Source organism: Homo sapiens, chromosome 18 (genome assembly GCF_000001405.40).
Source record: "Homo sapiens chromosome 18, GRCh38.p14 Primary Assembly".
Classification (NCBI taxonomy): domain Eukaryota; kingdom Metazoa; phylum Chordata; class Mammalia; order Primates; family Hominidae; genus Homo; species Homo sapiens.
In genome coordinates this window covers 57,770,178-57,789,462 of record NC_000018.10, presented here as the reverse complement: position 1 = coordinate 57,789,462, position 19,285 = coordinate 57,770,178, and the positions used below count along the sequence as shown (strand labels likewise).

The window sequence follows — 19,285 nt, the reverse complement described above, 5'->3', positions numbered from 1 at the left end:
TATATTGACCCACTTAGTCCCGTGGTGTATTAATTTCCTGGTCTCTTTTTGCAAGCAAAGGAATTATAACTTGCCTGAAGTCTCAGAACTAGTAATTGACAAAACCAGAAATTGCAGTCGTGTTTCCAGACTCACAAGGCGAGGGTTCTTTCCGAGACCTCACAGCCGAAGGTTGGAAAATCGATCCAAATGACTCAGAGATAGGGTTGCCAAATTTAACAAATAAAAATACAGGACACAGTTCAGTTTGAATCTCAGATAAATGATGAGTAATTTTTTTTAGTATAAGTGTGTCCTATGCAATGTTTGGGACTGACTTACACTAAAAATGATGTGTTCTTTATGTTAATGTCAGATATAACTCTGTGTCCTATATTTCATCTGGTAACCCACCCAGAAATGAACTCTTGGAACACAAAATCATTTGTAATTTGTGGACTTCCTGTATATTCAAGCTCCTTATAGAAACTCCTGGATCTGCCAAGCATTTTGTTTTATTTGGGGGTGGGAGTGGAAGGAGGATTTATTTTCCTATTCTCCTAAAAGGGCTGTGTTGTGATATTTTTTCCATCTTTAATATCTATGATTTGTAATAAACAGCAGCCTGGTTTTGGGAAACAAGCCCAGGAGATGTCAGCTCTGGTGAGTCACTGAATGGGCTGGCTGACCTCAGCTAATAATAGCAATTCTTTACATTTTTAAAGCACTTTATAGTTTTAAAATCTCCTCATTTGGGAGTTGGCAAGACAGGAATTATCCCCATGGGACAGATGAGAAACACAAGGGAAGCAGGGTTTGGGGGAGTGGGTGGTGCCAGGAACTGGGTTAGGGTACTCTTTTCCTAACTTTCAGTTCAGTGATGAGCAGTTAATTTTCTTTTCTTTTCCTTTCTTTCTTTTTTTTTTTTGAGATAAGAGTCTCACTCTGTCACCCAGGCTGGAGTGCAGTGGCACAATCACGGCTCACCAGGACCTCTGCCTCCTGGGTTCAAGCGATTCTCATGCCCCAGCCTCCCAAGTAGCTGGGATTACAGATGGGCACCACCACGCCCGACTAATTGTTTGTATTTTTAGTAGAGATGGGGTTTCACCATGTTGGCCAAGCTGATCTCAAACTCCTGGCCTCATGTGATCCTCCCGCCTTGGCCTCCCAAAGTGCTGGGAGCCACCATGCACGGCCAGTTAATTTTCTAAGCTCCGATTTTTTCGTGCTTCAAATGATGGACCTGATGTTTTATAGGATACCCTCTCATTGTAATTCCATGCCTCTCTGTGATCTCATTTGTCATAAGCTTCCAATTTTTAAAATGTACAGGTTGTAAATCATTTCAAGCTTTGTAGGTCCAGATGACAATAAAATATATGTGTTTCAGTAGCAGGGATAGACAATAGGTTTTATTTTGTTCATTCCGTATTCAGTTTGTCTTGTTTTATAGATGGATCTCGCTCTGTTGCCCAGGCTGGAGTGCAGTGTCAAATTATGGCTCACTGCAGCCTCAAACTCCTGGGCTCAAGGGATCCTCCCGCCTCAGCCTCCCAAGTGGCTGGGACTAATATTCACTTTTATCCAGTACTGTCATGTCTACACAATGGATACTATATAGGTCCCTTTAGAAGATGTATAAAATTTTAAATGAGGCCTATTTATTTTAAAGGTGTTTTTTCTCTATTTTGATAGATGTTAAACCTTCAGAAAAACTACTGACATTCAAAAAGGTATCTAACCCCTGAGGTTTGACAAACTTTAGAGCATTTTTAAAGGAATAGACTTTTTAAAAACTGAAAATCAGTAAATATCAGTAACCAATGGGCTCTAAAAGCCAACTTTGAAAAAGAAGCTCATGACAAAGAAGCCAAAATTACAAGAGGAAATGGTATAGCGGAGCCAACACTCCCCACCCACAGTGTTCTAGATGGAGCTCCACCCACAGTGTCCTAGATGGAGCTCCACCCGCATTGTTCTAGATGGAGCTCCTCCCGCAGTGTTCTAGATGGAGCTCCTCCCGCAGTGTTCTAGATGGAGCTCCTCCCGCAGTGTTCTAGATGGAGCTCCTCCCGCAGTGCTCTAGATGGAGCTCCTCTCGCAGTGCTCTAGATGGAGCTTTTAGGCTCACTTTTTATCAGACGAATTTATGTTGTCTTTTAGGTTCTTGTGTGTGTGTCATAAGGAAATCAGTAAGCATAAAGTGGCTTTAATTGCACTTGGCAGAGGACTAAGGGTATATAAAGATTGGTGACCGTTGTGAGAACTAAAGTACATTTTATTTGCTTGTAAAATTTTGTTTGCCACGATATCTTAGGCATTATACAATGATTTCCGGTCCAGAGGATCCTGAGAATTTAACATGAATATTATGAAGTTTCCTGTCTTCAAAATTTTGTATTTGAATACTTATTTTAATATCGCTTAAATGTATTTCTAACATAACATCCTGTCTGGCAGTCTTTGTAAACTCTCAAATTTGTCTAAGCTCTAAGTTGTTAGGGGTCATTCTTCTGTTCCAAGTCGATGTTGTTCTCCATATCTGCTGTATTTCAATACCCCTTACTAGACGTAAAAAAGATAAGAGTATCTCTTTCAAGCAAACCTTAATTTTTAAAAACACCCTTTAACATTTTTTTGTGTTTCTAGTTTTCATGAACCATTGGAAGAACACATTGTGTTTTTGAAATAAAGGGGCTTGGCTGGGCACAGTGGCTCACGCCTGTAATCCCAGCACTTTGGGAGGCCGAGATGGGTGGATCACTTGAGGTGCTACCTCCTCCTGGAAGATTTCCTGATTCCTTGTCTTTCCCAGACCAAAGTGAGGGACTCTTCCTTTGTTCTAGTGGTTCCCTGTACATTCTCATCTTAGCATAGGTGGTACCATCTCGGAGATGGTAGCTAGCTTTTATATCAGATGTGGCTTGATCAGTGGTGGTTGCCTAGACACTGGTTTTCAAAGTATGGTCCCTGGACCAGCAACATCAGCATGACTGGGGGCTGCACTCTAGAGTCACTGACTCAGAAGCTCTGGGGTTAAGACCCAGCAATCAGTGTCCTAATAAAACTTCCAGGTGATTCTGATGCCTGCTCCAGATTGAGAATCCCTGGCTGAGAGGCTTTTGACGAGCTGGATTCTGAAGTGATGTCCAGCCACGGCAGCAAAGGTGTGTTAGGATTCCTTAGTCCTGTCACCTTGAGCAGGTGAGAAGCAGGACAGATGTGGGCCTAGGGGTGTGGCATCCCTGAGCTATATTGTCATTGCTGGTCTATTTGTCTGTGTTTACACTAGTGGCCACCTTGGTGAGAATAGCACCTTGGCAAGACTCATGTTGTAGCTCAGCCCCCAGCGCAGTTCTTAAATTGTAGCACCTGTTCTATAATTACACATTAAATAGTAAAGTCAGAAACATGCCTTTCCACACTGATAGGTACTAGCATTAGCTGCCGTTATTAGACACATGTTTTATGAGAGAGAAGGCCATTGAACAACATCGAACCAATAATTGTTGGCTGTTTTTATAGTGACTCTACAATGAAAAGAATCCACCGTGGCCTAATTAAGTGAATTTTATGGCTTTTACTCCTTCACTAAGCTGCCAGAGGAGAATAACCAAGTTCTTTCTTGGACTTCATAACTTAGTATAATAGTCACAAACACAAATAGATACTTACGGCCAGGTACGGTGGCTCATGCCTGTAATCCCAACACTTTGGGAGGCTGAGGCATGTGGATCACTTGAGGTGAGGAGTTTGAGACCAGACTGGCCAACATGGTGAAACCCCATCTCTACTAAAAATACAAAAATTAGCTGGGCATGGTGGCACGCGCCTGTAATCCCAGCTACTCAGGAGGCTGAGGCAGGAGAGTCACTTGAACCCTGGAGGTGGAGCTTGCAGAGAGCTGAGATTGCACCACTGCACTCCAGCCTGGGCAACAGAGCGAGACTCCGTCTCAAAAAAACAAAACAGAACGAGACAAAACAACAACAACAACAAAAATAGATATTTAAAGATTTTTGCACTAACTTTTGATACTTACTGCCATACTTTGGAAATGCAACAAAAATATCGGGAATTTGTTTTAAGCATCTACTTAGGAAAAAAAGGACTCTTATGGCATTTTGGTTTGGGTTAGAGATATTTTTACAAATGTTATTTGAAATAAACACCATCCCATAACTCTGAGCTATGAAATATTTACATACAGGGGAAAATCCAGCTAACACCTATATCCACTCACTGCTCTATTTTGGGTTTATGTTGTTGTCAAAAGACAAAGGATAAAGATTTTTCAAGATCTTGTGTATTTTGGGGTTAGTATAACTCCAATTGTTTTCTAATTCGATGAGGCAGCATCCACCTTAATACTAGGTCTGGTTTTTTAAAGTCAATTTTAGGTGCTTGTCAACAAAGCCGGAACATGAGAAAATTGAAATGATTTGTGAAGCTCTTACTCTGGCCTGCCCGTGAACTTTTTGAGACAGAAGACCGGCACCAGTTTATTAAAGACTTTGTAAAAGTATACTTAACTTAGTCAACCAGATGTGACTTTTGCTCCCTGGGGAACATTTTAAGTTGTCACAATTCAGGATGCTACAAGCGTCCAGTGGTCAAGGCCAGGGATACTTCTAAATATCCTACAATATGCAGCTCAGCCTCTACAACAAAGAAGTATCTTACCCAAAACGTCACTAGGGTTGAGGCTGAGGAATTCTACCCTAAACCACGGGTAGGAGTCCTCTTAAAATGCTACGGTTTCGCAGGACTTAGTCATAGGCACGTTTCATAATACTCTCCTGCACGTTTCATAATACTCTCCTGCATGCCCCTAAACACAGCACCTCGAGCATTGAACTCTGACATCAGTTGAGAAGATGATACCCCTCTAGCTGGTGCTTAAGCCTTCTGGCTTAAGCCTGGACTTGATCTCTGACCCCTTTCTCTTCCAGACTGCACCCTGCTTTCATTTCCAATCCGTCTCCAAGGCCTGTTGCTTCTACCTCTGGAAGACCTTGACTCCACCTGATAACCTCTATCTCCGCTGCCATCCGCGAGGTTCAAGCTGTCATCCTCCCTCTCCTGGACCATTCCAGTAGCCTTCTTACATGAGGGCTACACTTCTACCCTGCCCCTTCCAAACCAGAGCACCCACTCAGATCCTGCCAACCCTTGCAGTAGCTCATGCTGTGGTTTTAACAACAGCTACCTTCTCTCCACAGCTCTCTATGCCCAGCCCGCCCTGACCCCGGCTTCCCCCTGCAAATTCCATTCTTTTTCTCCTTCAGTTTCTGAAGCATGACGAGTCCCTTCCTGTCCCAGGAACTTCAGATTTGCTGCTTTCTCGCTTGAAAAGCTCTTCCTCTGAAAGGCTCCTTATCTTTTGCCTTTTGGCCCAAATGTCATTTCTTCAGCGTAGTCTCTGCCCACCCCAGTAAAAATTAAAGTAGGAGTCCCTCCTGAGTTATGTCCTCTGCTCACTCTTTCTTTTTCAAGTAGCAAGGATGTAGAGAACAGGGGAAGCCCAGAAATACTGTTGAAATGACAACAGCTCTGTCACCATGCGCCCTTCGATGTATGGTAGAGGAGACGGCTTCTGTGTTTTCTTCAATGCTTAATTTCCTTTATTATTTTTATTTTTTTTTTAAGACGGGGTCTCACTCTGCCACCCAGGCTGGAGTTCAGTGGCGCGATCTCAGCTCACTGCAACCTCTGCCTCCCAGTTCAAGCAATTTTCCTGCCTCAGCCACCTGAGTAGCTGGGATTACAAGCGCGTGCCACCATGCCTGGCTAATTTTTGTATTTTTAGTGGAGATAGGGTTTCACTATGTTGGCCAGGCTGGTTTTGAACTCCTGACCTCAAGTGATCCACCTGCCTTGGCCTCCCAAATTGCTGGGATTGCAGGTATGAGCCACTATGCCCGGTCTTCAATTTCCTTTTATATTGTCTCTTCTTGTGAATATCAGGAGTCTTGCTTCACTTAAGGCAGCATCTACCAGGCATATTCGATATTTTTAAAGTTCTTATTCCCCACAGTCTTTCTATATTATTAAAGGAAATAAATACATAAAAAAGACTTGTTTGTTAAACCATATGTGTCCACCCTGTTGTGTGCCTGTCATCAGTTTCAAAGGACCACAGTAAGCATGTTAGAACTTTTGTTAAACATAAAGATATATAAATATTATCTTATCCATGCCTGCGTTCCATCAGATGCCCTCTTTCCCCTGTAATCTTTACAGTTTCTACTTTATAGTCTCTCTGTAGAGCATTCTTAACCTGAATAGTGTGTTCTCTGTCACCCATCATACTTCTAGGAACGTCCCCGCCTCCCTTCAGCCAGTGCATCTTTAGAAAAGACAAACTAGGCCGGGCACCGTGGCTCACGCCTGTAATCCCAGCACTTTGGGAGGCTGAGGCAGGCAGATCACTTGAGCTCAGGAGTTTGAGACCAGCCAGACCAACATGGTGAAACCCTGTCGCTACTAAAAATAAAAAAATTAGCTGGGCATGGTGGTGGGTGCCTGTAATCCCAGCTACTCGGGAGGTTGAGCCACGAGAATTGCTTGAACCCAGGAGGCGAGTTTGCAGTGAGCCAGGATTGCACCATTGCACTTTAGCCTAGGCAACAAGAGTGAGACTCTGTCTCAAAAAAAAAAAAAAAAAAAAAAAAAAAGAGACAAACTAGAATTAATCTGAGCCAGGTATCATTTAGACAGTAAATCTGTTTTCCTAAAAGAATCATATTATAGTCAAGGCTCAAACAAATAGATTTCATATTATCTGGAGCCTTTCTAAAAATGCATAAACCAGAGGTGACTGAAGAATTTTTTGTCTGTGTGTGTGCGCACCATTCATTCTTGACTTTTTGATAAATGAGATTCTCAAGTTCACCTGGGAAGCATCAAAAACATTGATGCCTGAGTTCTCCTTGCCAGAGTCTTATTAGCCAGTCTGGGATAAACCTGGCTGATTCTCTCATGCGTAGTCAAGACAGAGAATGGCTTGGAAAGTAGACAATGTAAGAGTCTACTCTTTATAGGATGCCTACACGCATAATAAAAAATTTACTTGGGTTTATGGAAATGTCTAGATATAAACCTATGGGGAAAATGATTGAAATAAATGAATGGTGTAACGTAAGGATGCTGGATTGGCGTCTGCAACGCAGCAGCTGTGGGTGGCCTTGATGAGTCTTACTTAATTTCATAGCTCATATCTGTGTAGTTATTTGCTGCTGGCAAACTATTGCTTCATCTTATTTTCGCAAATTCTATAGACAGCAGGGCTTCTTTGCATCTTCTGCCCTTTCTGCTCCATTCTCCAATTAAATGGATTTCACTGCAGCAGCTTTCTGCCCTATGGCAGAGGCCTCCCATGTGCTTCCCAGGCTGGGTTAGGTATGGTTTTGCCAAGCTCCCACTGCAACCTGAGCATATTGTCTTCTCCTGGCATTTACTGTATTTTAAATATTATTATTACTGGTTTTTAGAGATGGGTTCTCGCTCTGTTGCCCAGGTTGGAGTGCAGTGGCCTGATCATACACAGCTCACTGCAGCTTTAAACTTCTGGACTCAGGCCATCCTCCAGCCTCAGCCTCCTGAGTGGCTAGGACTACAGGTGTGTGCCACTATGCCTGGCTAATTAAAATTTCTTCTTTTGTAGAGACAGGGGTATCCTTATGTTGTTCAGGCTGGTCTCAAACTCCTGGCATCAACATCAAGCTATCCTCCCATCTCGGCCTCCCAAAGTACTGGAATTACTGGTGCGAGCCACTGCACCCACCTATGTTTCCCATATTGAACTGTAACAGTCTGTGTTAGGATTTAAGTTATAGTGAGAGATCACGTATCTTCTTCATCCCTGGAGTCCACAACCTAGTAGGCATTCAATAACTGATCAATTAATGAATATATTAATTTTCACTTTACAGATGGGGACACTGAGGCCCAGGGAGACTAAATACAAGTTCAGCACTCACACCTCCCCTAATCTTTCTGAGCTCTGGATTCCTCTTGTAAAAATAAAGAATTTTGGATATTTTTTCTAATAACCCATATAGCTCAAAAACAGGTGGTTCTGTTTTATGATTTTAACAACTCTGCAGTGTTGCCAAAACTCAACAAAGCTGTCTCCAGATGGAGTGAAACAGTCTCAAGAATAAAGATAATGATTAAAATAACGCACCTACTGGCAAGAATGGAATTCACATTACACTTCAACCTAGATCAGGAACTCAGTCCCAACTTCTGAGTATTAAAAATCACCTCGGGAGACTTTGAAGAAGTAGAAGTTCCTGTGTTTTATCCCTTCCCTTTCTGGAGTTTCCCAAGTGATTTTGAAGGAGACCAATCAGCATTTAATGCTTCCTTTTTTGGTGTTCTTGGAGATGACTCATATCTGACCAGCAGTGGTTATGTGAATGGTCTTCATGTCTGATTTTAACATTTTAAACAGTGGGCTGACCCAAACACAGCTCTGTTTGAGCAGCCGGCCTGGCCAGGCCACATATATCATACATACCTTGCTGAGACAAGGAAATTGTCTTCTGTAGAAATTCTGTTGGAATCAGAGAAGTGGCTATCGAGGCTGGACTCTTGACCATTTAGAAATCATTTCCTAATCAGTTATGTCAGGACGAGGGGCAGGCATGCTGGAAAAACAAAAGAGAGAAAGGTGAAACCACAGCTTCCTTCTGTTGGGGTGAAACTGTCCACAGAAAAAAATAAAAGTTTTTTACATATCGTGTACAATATTACCTCCATCAGGCAACCTCTTGGTTGAAGCCAACTGAGAGATTTTGAAGGCTGCAAAATGATTGAACAAGTGTATTTCTTAGGGTTTAAATGAAATCCCTCCAGCGTTTAGTAGAACTGGCAAACTATATGGACTCCTGATTACTAAGTAGTTACGATTTCCTTTCCCCCATCTTTCAAGAAGCTTGTTTTTATTTCTGGTTTGCCTGCTCTCCACACCCCCTCACCCAGCTGCCTGAATTGGAAACCAGCCCACCATAGTTTTAATTGTGAAATTCCTGAAGCTGTTAATATATGTAAACATACAACAGGATGTTTCCCACAGCTGTGCATAATGACTTGGGAAACAGGCCAGAAGACCTGTTTTCAAATTGGGTGAATTCTATAAAGTCTTCAGTTAGGTTTAGAGTAATTATACATTTATGCATTTTTATTTTAAAAGGACTTTAAACAAATTTCACAAGTTGGATATTTTTTAATCCTTTCAAGGATTTACTCAAGTGAGCAAAAGATTAAAAACTAATGTTTGCTTTACCTTTTTCCAACTTCAGATTTTAAACATTCCTCTACATTTATTGACATCTTCCAAAACAATTTTACACAGACAGACAAATTTGTGAAATTTGAGATTCATAATAAATCTGTTATGAGAATTAGAAATGTGGGCTTCAAGGCCAGTTGGTTTATTCAGCATCTAAGCTCTAACATTTATATGCCGTGGTGATTTATAACAGGTTTAGCCAAAAGAGACTGTTTAATATTATAACTGTTAATTTACCTATGTTATTTTTGTTATTTTTTCTTTCTTTCTCTTTTTTTTTTTTTTGAGACGGAGTTTTGCTCTTATTTCCCAGGCTGGAGTGCAGTGGGAAATCTCGGCTCACTGCAACCTCTGTCTTCCAGTTTTCAAGCAATTCTGCCTCAGCCTCCCAAGTCACTGGGATTACAGGCACCCGCCACCACGCCCAGCTAATTTTTTTGTGTTTTTAGTAGAGACGGGGTTTCACCATGTTGGTTGGGCTGGTCTCGAAGTGCTGACCTCGTGACCTACCCGCCTCGGCCTCCCAAAGTGCTGGGATTACAGGCGTGAGCCGCCATGCCCGCCCCTATTTTTTCTTTCATTACACAAGTTAAGAATGGATAATTATACTAAAAATAAGGTAGAAATACCATGTTCGGTGTTGCTAAAATTAAAAAGTGAACATTAGGCTATACCTGATACCAACTTTGGATTTCAAAGGTTAATTTTACATTTTATTTTTGCCCCTTCTGGGAGCCTTTCAGCTCTGCCTGTGAGTGCTCCTAATTCTCTGCCTCTCTCAATGCTGGTTTGAGTGAAGTAATTTCTCTCTGCTGCTACACTTCTTTCTTCTTCTCCTTCTCCTTCTTCTTCTTCCTTTTTTTTTTCTGAGGGAGGGTATCACTCTGTCGCCCAGGCTGGAGTGCAGTGGTGCAGTAACAGCTCACTGTAGCCTCGACCTCCCAGGCTCAAGCAATCCTCTCACTTCAGCCTCCCGAGTAGCTGGGACCACAAGCACATGCCCAGCTAATTTTTGCATTTTTTGTAGAGATGGGGTTTTGCTATGTTGCCTGGGCTGGTCTCGAACTCCTGGGCTCAAACAATCTGCCCACCTCAGCCTCCCAAAGTTCTGGAATTACAAGTGTGAGCCATTACACCCAGCCCTGCTAAACTTCTTATGCTTGGTCCATAAAAGCCTTCTTAAGCTACTTTTGGCCAAATTTGGAACCTTTCTAAAATATCTCAGGATTCTTGTGAAGTGTAATTTGTGATTTCTTCTGTTTCTGGGAAATCCTCTCCCTTGAGCAGGGGTTAGACCTGGTGATGCCCTTCTAGTGAATAAAATATGGCCACAGTGATGGGATGTCACTTCTGAGGCTGGGGCACAGAAACACCCCACTTCCCTCTTGCTGATGCTCTCTCATGCTCTCACTTACTGTAAGAGAAGCCAGCTGCCCCATGGAGAGACATTCATGGCAAAGAACTGGAGCTGGCCTCTGGCCAACAGCCCAAGAGGATGGAATCCTGCCAACAGCCCTGTGAGTGAGCTTGGAGGTGGATCATCCCCAGGCCGACCTTTAGGTGACTGCAGCTCTGGCTCACACCTTGACTGCAGCCTTGGGAGGAGACCCTGAGCCATACCCAGATTCTTGATCCATTGAAACTGAGATTATAGGCCGGGCGCGGTGGCTCATGCCTGTAATCCCAGCACTTTGGGAGGGCGAGGCGGGCGGATCACGAGGTCAGGAGCTCAAGACCATCCTGGCTAACATGGTGAAACCCCGTCTCTATTAAAAAAAAAATACAAAAAATTAGCCGGGCGTAGCGGCGGGCGCCTGTAGTCCCAGCTGCTCCCGAGACTGAGGCAGGAGAATGGCGTGAACCTGGAAGGCGGAGCTTGCAGTGAGCCGAGATCGCACCACTGCACTCCAGCCTGGGCGACAGAGCGAGACTCCGTCTCAAAAAAAAAAAAAAAGAAAAAGAAAAAGAAACTGAGATTATAAATACTTGTGGTTCAAACTGCTAAATTTGGGGGTATTTTGTTAGGCAGCAACAGATAACTAATACAAGGGCAAAGATTTAAGGTACAATTAAAGTTGCCGCTTGCATGTGGGGAGCTCACTATCTGGTAAATGCTTCTGTTGTTGACCATCACTGGAAAGTCAAGATGTGATACCATCATGTTTGTTATTTCCTGATAAAGGGCTCCCACAGTTTCCAAGCTTCAGTTTTGTTCCACCTATTATTTGTTTTTTCATTTAATTTTTGGAATAAGTAATACATGCAAATGGTACAACCTTCGAAAGGTACAAAAGGGTATTAAGTGTCAGCCTTGGCCAGATAAGGTGGCTCACGCCTGTAATCCCAGAACTTTGGGAAGCCAAGGTAGGAGGATCGCTTGAGCCCAGAAGTTCGAAACCAGCTTGGCCAACACGGCAAAACCCTGTCTGTACAAAAACTACAAAAAATTAGCTGGGCATGGTGGCACATGCCTGTAATCCCAGCTACTTGAGAAGCCGAGGTGGGAGGATCACTTCAGCCTGGGAGGCGGAGGTTGCAGTGAGCCGAGATCCCACCGGTGCACTCCAGCTTGGGCAACAGAGTGAGACCCTGTCTCAAAATAAATAAATAAATAAAAAATAAAGTGTCAGTTTTCCTGCCTCCTTTTAACCCAGTTACCCAACTCTCCTACCCAAAGGCACGGGCCATCACCAGTTTATTGGTTATCTTTTTAGAAATCATCTTTGTGTTTACAAACATATATATTCATGTTTCTTTTTTCCCCTGGAACAAATGACAGTGGAATTTGACTTTCAATGGCCTGTCTCAGGAAGATGGTAGATATATAACAGATTGAAATCTTACATAGTTTCTGCATTGGATTCCTGCATTGGATTCCAGCTTTCAATAGATAAGAAATTAGCCTGGCTAGGCACTGTGGCTCACACCTGTAATTCCAGCACTTTCAGATGCTGAGCCGGGCAGATTGCTTGAACCCAAAAGTTCAAGACTAGCCTGGGAAACATAGCGAAATCCCATCTCTACAAAAAATGTAAAAATCAGCTGGGTGTGGTGGCACATGCCTATAGTCCCAGCTACATGGGAGGCTGAGGTGGGAGGAATCACTTGAGCCCAAGAGGTCAAGGCTGCAGTGAGCTGTGATCACACCACCGTACTCCAGCCTGGGCGACAGTGATACCCTATTTAAAAAAAAAAAAAAAAGCCTGAGAAAACAGTTGGAAAGGAAGATAACAGATTGCATAACGATCGGCCTGGAGTAGGACTTAGAGAAGCCATCTGGAGTATTGAAGACATCCAGATGAACTGCTTTTGAAGAAGCTTCCACAGTGGAGTATCTTGTTGACCTTTGAGGGAAGGGGGGTGAAAATAACATATTAGGAAATGTCCTAGACAGTTGTTCCAGCCTTTTCTCCTATTATTTTCTAGCCAACTTCTCCCAAAGAAGGCTTCACATTGTGAAAAATAATTGCTTTTTTCTTTCTTTTTTTTTTTTTTTAGTGACTTGGTTCCAGTCACTTTTAAGGATCTAAGGTGACTCTGAGTTAGACAGGAAATGAGTCCTGAGAACAGATATGAGGAGGAAAGAAAAGGGCTTGCTGTTTTATTTCCCCTCCTTTCTCTCACCTCAGTGGGCAGATCTGGGTGACTGTGGTTGATTGTGTGGGTGGGCTCCCACCCTCCAAAACAAGTCACTCTTTCCCTGCCTGGCCCTGAGACCTCCGTCACTTGTCTTAACCTCTTCATGTCTCTGTTTCTTTCCTGCAAGGTGAAGGTCATTAAACGAGATAATTAAAATTACTTTCAAGAGTGGTAGAAGCCTAATTCACGTGAACTCACATGAATGCGAGGTGGTACTATTACAGTCATTACCTTTAAAATTATAGCAGCATGCCCAACAAGACACAGTGGAGGCAAAGGGTCGTTGGACAGAACTCAGCTGAATGCCAATGTTAGTTTTGTTTCCTTAACGTGTAGTATCGGTTCCAAATGGAATTGAATCATCAAGTATGCTTACCTGGTTTATTATGCCAAGTAACAAGATTGGCCAATCCTTCTTATTTATTGTTCAGAAACTATAGAAGAAAGCAGCCAACAAATGATGATGGTTTTTCAGTGACTCATGCCTCCTTTGATTAGAATCCAATGTAGCCTACTCCTTATCCTGGCATCATTACTAGATATTGCCTTTTATTTTGACTAATGGAGCACATGAATGGATAGATTTTAAAGAAATGCCTAGGCTGGGCGCAGCAGCTCACGCCTGTAATCCCAGCACTTTGGGAGGCCAAGGCAGGCGGATCACCTGAGGTCGGGAGTTTGAGACCAGCCTGATCAATATGGAGAAACGCCGTCTCTACTAAAAATGCAAAATTAGCCGGGTGTGGTGGCACATGTCTGTAATCTCAGCTACTTGGGAGGCTGAGGCAGGAGAATTGCTTGAACCCAGGAGGTGGAGGTTGCAGTGAGCTGAGAATGCACCATTGCACTCCAGCCTGGGCAACAAGAGCGAAACTCCATTTCAAAAAAAAAAAAAAAAAAACATGGCCAGTTGTTTCACTGCTCTCTGACAGAATCCTGACAGAATCTCTTGCTCTAGGTAGAACAACCAATTTTTTATTTTAGGCTACTCATCTGTGACCTTGATAATATGGAGTTAGAATTCCTTCCTCCTTTCTATTTCTTTCCGCACTCCCTGTCTCCTTCTTTCTCTTTCCTCCCTTCTCCCTTCCTCCCTCTCTTCCTTCTTCTGTCTTTCCTTCTCCTTTTCCCTCCATTCCGCCCCTCTCCTTCCTCCTTCCCTCCTCCTTTCTTTTTCTTTCTTTCGTCTCTCTCCCCCTCCTTCCTTCTCTTTCTCTTTTCTTTTTTTGAGACAGGGTCTCCATCTGTCACCCAGGCTGGACTGCAATGACATGATCATTGCTCACTGCAGCCTTGACCCCTGGGCTCAAGCAATCCTCCCGACTCAGCTTTTCAAGTAGCTGGGACTACAGGCACATGCCACCACGCCCAACTACTATTTTTGTACTTTTTGTAGAGACGGGGTTTCACCATGTTGCCCAAGCTGGTCTCGAACTCTCCAGGCTCAAGCAGTGCACCCCTCTTGGCCTCCCAAAGTGTTGGGATTACAGGCATGAGCCACCACACCTGACCTCTGTCTCTCCTTCCTTCTCTTTCTCATCTCCTCTGTGCCAGGCTCTGTCCTGGGTGTTCATCATACAACAAAGAGAAAAGAGACAAGATTCCTGCCCCTATGGAGTTGGCATTCTTGTGTGGAGAAGAGAATAAACACACTAATATGTGGTATTAACATTTATCACACGTTGATGATATATGCAAGGAAAAATAAATAAGCATGAAGGGCAAAAGAGGTGAGGGCTTACTATTTTGTCCAGGTGACTCAGGGAGCCTTATTAATAGGTGACTTTTCATTCAGTCAACAAACATCTGTAAGATAGTTACCGTACATTGTACTGTATTCTGGGTGCTGGGGATGTAGCTAAACAAAATAAGCAAAAATCCCTTTGCTCTGGGAGTGTACATTCCGGTTAGAAGAGATTATTAATAAATAAATTTTATTTATTTTTGAGATGGAGTCTCACACTCTGTCGCCCAGGCTGGAGTGCAATGGCACAATCTCAGCTCACTGCAACCTCCGCCTCCAGGTTCAAGCAGTTCTCCTGCCCCAGCCTACCATGTAGCTGGGATTACAGGCACACACCATCATGTCCAGCTAATTTTTGTATTTTTGTAGAGACGGGGCTTCGCCATGTTGGCCAGGCTGGTCTCAGACTCCTGACCTCAGGTGTTCCACCTGCCTTGGCCTCCCAAAGTGCTGGGATTATAGGCATGAGCCACTGTGCCCAGCCTAATAAATTTTAAAGTCTGATAGCAGATGAGAAGTGCTATGGACAACAATGTAAAGAAGGGGGACTGGCAAGGCTGGGGTTTAAATATGGTGGTGATTGATTGGGCTCCTAAAAAGGTGACATTAGAGCTAGGACAGTAAGGTGAGGGGCTAAGCCTTGTGGCTACGGGGGAAGAGCATTCCAGGTACAGGAACAGACACTGTGTGGCCCCAAGCTCCAGGACCAGGGAGACAGCAGGGTGGCTGTAGATGAGAGGGAAAGAGAGCAGGTAGATTTTGGGTTTTACTCTGAGAGAAGTGAGAACCCACTGCAGAGTTTCGAGCCGAGGAGTAACTCCATCTGATTACCTTTGGAAAGAATCAGCCTGCCCTCCATGTTGGAGCTAGACTGAAGGGCATGCTGTCTGGGGCTACCTCTAATCCGGGTGAGGGAGAACAGAGCTTCAGCCAAGCAGCTTGCAGGGAGGTGAGGAGAGGTTTTAGGTTCTGGAAACATTTGGAAGGCAGAGCCTAGGGCTTACGGATGAATAGGGAGCAGGGTAGGAGGGAAGATGAGACTCCAGCATGACTCTAGGTGTTTGGCATGAGCACCTGGGAGATGGGGTTGCCTTTTACTGACGTGAGGAAGCCTGGGGGATAATGGAGTTATGAGGGAAATTGAGGGGTTCAGTCTTAGGTTTGAGTAGACACTTGAAGTTTGAAATTTAGCTTCCTTTGGCTAAATATGGAAACATTTGGGGGAACCACCCTCTTCTTGAATAAAATGCTAATAAGTGCGTATAGAATGTCAGGGCCAAATAAGAACCCTTGCAGAGTTCAGCTGCCTGCAGCAGTTGCTAAGGCTAGAAACTGGGCACCTTTTTCAATGTTTTTCCTCCCAGACCCCCTGCCCGGATGAAGTGAGTTGTAAAATGCTGCCTCTGCCTCTGAAAGTTCTGCCAGAAATCCCACCCTTTCTGTCTGCACCACCTTATTAGCCTCCGCCTTTGGCCCCTGTTGCCAGAGGACAGTAAGGACTTTCTGCACTCTTGTCTTGGCCACAGATTAACACCATCTTTTCCTGGAGTCCTTGGTCAGGGTTATCATTTCTTTCTTTTCTTTTTTTTTTTTTTTTTAAGACAGAGTCTCGCTCTGTCACCCAGGCTGGAGTGCAATGGTGTGATCTTGGCTCACTGCGTCCTCTGCCTCCTGTGTTAAGAGATTTTCCTGCTTCAGCCTCCTGAGTAGCTGGAATTACAGGCATGCACCACCACACCCAGCTAATTTTTGTATTTTTAGTAGAGATTTGTTAGTAGAGCCTCTGCCTCCCGTAGTGTTGGAATTACAGGCATGAGCCACCGCTCCAGGCCTAGGGTTATCATTTCTAAAATGCAAATCTGATTAAAACAGTTCATGTTGTTGAGGCCCCAGCCTCTTTGCACAGATGGATCCTGCACTTCTGCTCCCCACCTCCTCACCTCTGCAGGTGCTTCAACTTCAGGAACCAACTCACTTCTTCCAGAATAGCTTCCTAGGCCCCCTTCCCTGCTCTATGTCCTCATCGTCCCTGTTACTTCTCCATCACAGCAGAGAGGCTTCTGTGCGCCGAATTCCTAGGGTCTGCCTTACCTTAGACTTTAAGCTTCATAGGGACAGGAGCCACGTTGCTCACCAGCAGCTGACTGAATACCTGCCACGAGGTCGGGACGTGTTGTTTACTCAATGCATGGGAGAACTCAGATGGCCTCTCCCTGCTTAGCACACAAATTCCAAATGCCGCTAGCACCCAAGGCCTTCCCAGCCTTGCCTCAGTCTGCTTTCCAGTCTCCTCTTCCAACTCTCTTCTTCTTCCTCCCCTGTCTACCCGCACTTTAGTAACTGAACTAATCCTGTGTGCCTTCAGTGCTGCAGAATATTTGCCCCCAGGGATTTCTTTCCAGAAATGCCTTTCTCCTCTCACTTTCTATCTCCCAATCAGATAGTGGCCCAGCTTGGGACTTGACCTTCAAGGCCAACTCAGCATCCCTCCTGTCTCTCTCCATCCCTGATCATCAGGTATAATTGACTGCTTTCTCCTCCACTTCTCCCGCTAGCAATACTCACAGTGAATGTCATGGTAAGGTGTTTATTTGCCACTGATGGGCGGGTAGTAGAGGAACAATGGAATTTTACATTTTAGGAGGCTTGTTCCTTATAATTATCTTAGCTCTTTTATAAAGCACTGATAGGTAACAAAATTACAGGTTTGAACTCAGAAAGCTTGCAAAGTTTTTGTTTTTGTTTTGTTTTTAGGATAACTTTAGGGAGATTTCTAAGTATTGTATAGGTTCAGTTAACCAACATAACATGTTTTTTAGGAGTATAAACATTATAGAGATGTCTGCCGACTAATTAGTATGTCGATTGTAGTTTTAATCGTGAAAATTGGGGTGGGAACAGCTAAAGGCAGAGCTAACTGGTTTTTTCCCAGGTATTTATCATGAGTTGTGTGCCTTAGGCTGTGTTCCCTTTTGAATGTGGTTTTTCTGGTTGTTCTGACAGCACTGCTAAGTGTGCCCTTTGACATTACTGGAGAACTAATTTATATTGATGGTGCCACTCATATCTTTGGAAACTGGATATGTTCTGATCAGCTCATTGATTTCTAACCTGTAGGATTACAGTAAAATTTAGACCTGAGGCACCACCCAGAAACTCCTGCTGCTGTATGTGGCCTGAATGAATCAAAATATGCTTGGACAGCTCATTATTTAACAGAAAACTCTGCCTTTGGCTTTTGAAGAGCAGATGTCCAAATGTAACTTGTCAGCCTGATTTTTGGAAGCTTGAGCAAGGGGAACCTGGTTATCTCAGACCATTTCGTAATTATAAAGAAAGTGAATTGAAGGATCAGGAAGTAAGTGAATTGAAGGATCAGGAAGTAAGGGAATTGCCTAACAATAGGAGATGCACCACGCCCAGTGCTGAGAGAGGTAGACTATATCACGCTTAATAAAACTGTCTGAATGAGTGATGGACTACTCCCATATCCTCTAAAGGAGGTAGTCTGACTCCTACAGAAACAGCTCCATTTTGATTTTAGGAGGTGGTTGTGATATAAGACTTACCATCTTAATTCTGCCATCAGTTGCAATCAGCATTAATTGCAAATCTCTTTCTGACAAAAATTCAAGTCCAGGCAGGGTGCAATGGCTCACGCCTGTAATTCCAGCACTTTGGGAGGCTGAGGTGGGCAGATCACTTGAAAAGGAGTTCAAAACCAGCCTGACCAACATGGTGAAACCCTGTCTCTACTAAAAATACAAAAATTAGCTAGGTGTGGTGGCACGTGCCTGTAATCCCAGCTATCAGGAAGCTGAGGCAGGAGAATCGCTTGAACCTAGGAGGCAGAAGTTGCAGTGAGCCGAGATCGTGCCACTGCACTCCAGCCTGGGCGACAGAGCGAGACTCTGTTACAGAACAAAACAAACAAAATTCACATCCATGTTTCTAGAAGAACGGTGACTTTAACTCGTATCTGACTGTCCCTTTGCTGTTCTGTCCTTAACATTGGGGCATGTTGACATGTTTTCACCTACAGGTATATTGCCATGAACTTGCGATCTGCCGCAGTAGGCAAGCCCCAGTATACCTGTCCCCTGCGTGTGGTTTGCCCCCAAGGGGTAGCCTCCCCACTGGCTGGCTTGCAGTGCATCTCAAAGTCCCTGTCTCAGCCTCTCCTTCTCCTCTATCCCATTTCTACCCATCTGGAGCTCCTGCCTCAACAATTTGGCTCCAGGGGTACCCTGTTCTGAGGGTGGGCCGGCTGGAGGCAGGAGAAAGGAGCCTTGTGTCTCACGGAGTGAGGAAGATCCCAAACTGGATGGAGGCAAAGTGGATGGTAACTAAATTCTGTGGTGCCATTGCATATAGAACACAGGCCTGTCAAGGCAAGTGGCATTTTGTGGACTGCTCTGGAAAGTGCTAAACAAATTTTGAGACATCTAACCGAAATGTGAAATATTGGACTGCGGTTCCCATTGGCAGCTGGGGTGGGTGGGCACCTAGGGAAGCTTGCTAGGCTGAGGCACTTCTGCCTGAGTGCAAGAAAAAGCAGTTCTCATTAGCTGGGCATGGTGGCATGCACCTGTAGTCCCAGCTACTCAGGAGGCTGAGGCAGG

The 19,285-nt window shown here is 44.0% G+C and overlaps 1 protein-coding gene and 1 long non-coding RNA gene across 9 annotated transcripts in view, besides 1 other annotated feature; one reads left to right on the top strand and one right to left on the bottom strand.

The window, feature by feature from the left end:
- ATP8B1 (ATPase phospholipid transporting 8B1) overlaps positions 1–19,285 on the top strand; it is a 156,890-nt gene that overhangs the window by 13,853 nt on the left and 123,752 nt on the right. The window lies entirely within an intron of this gene.
- Positions 2,243–18,371, bottom strand: LOC124904310 (uncharacterized). The gene is made up of 2 exons (XR_007066388.1): positions 18,233–18,371; positions 2,243–13,039 (listed from the first exon to the last, which is right to left on the bottom strand). It is a non-coding gene; the product is annotated as an uncharacterized LOC124904310 (long non-coding RNA).
- Positions 12,439–13,638: an enhancer, noted in NCBI's record as "P300/CBP strongly-dependent group 1 enhancer chr18:55443057-55444256 (GRCh37/hg19 assembly coordinates)". NCBI's record gives its function as "activates an origin of replication core promoter dependent on BRD2, BRD4, P300/CBP, MED14 and CDK7 cofactors, with strong dependence on P300/CBP, by STARR-seq in HCT116 cells {active_cell/tissue: HCT116}" and the evidence as "EXISTENCE:reporter gene assay evidence [ECO:0000049][PMID:35650434]".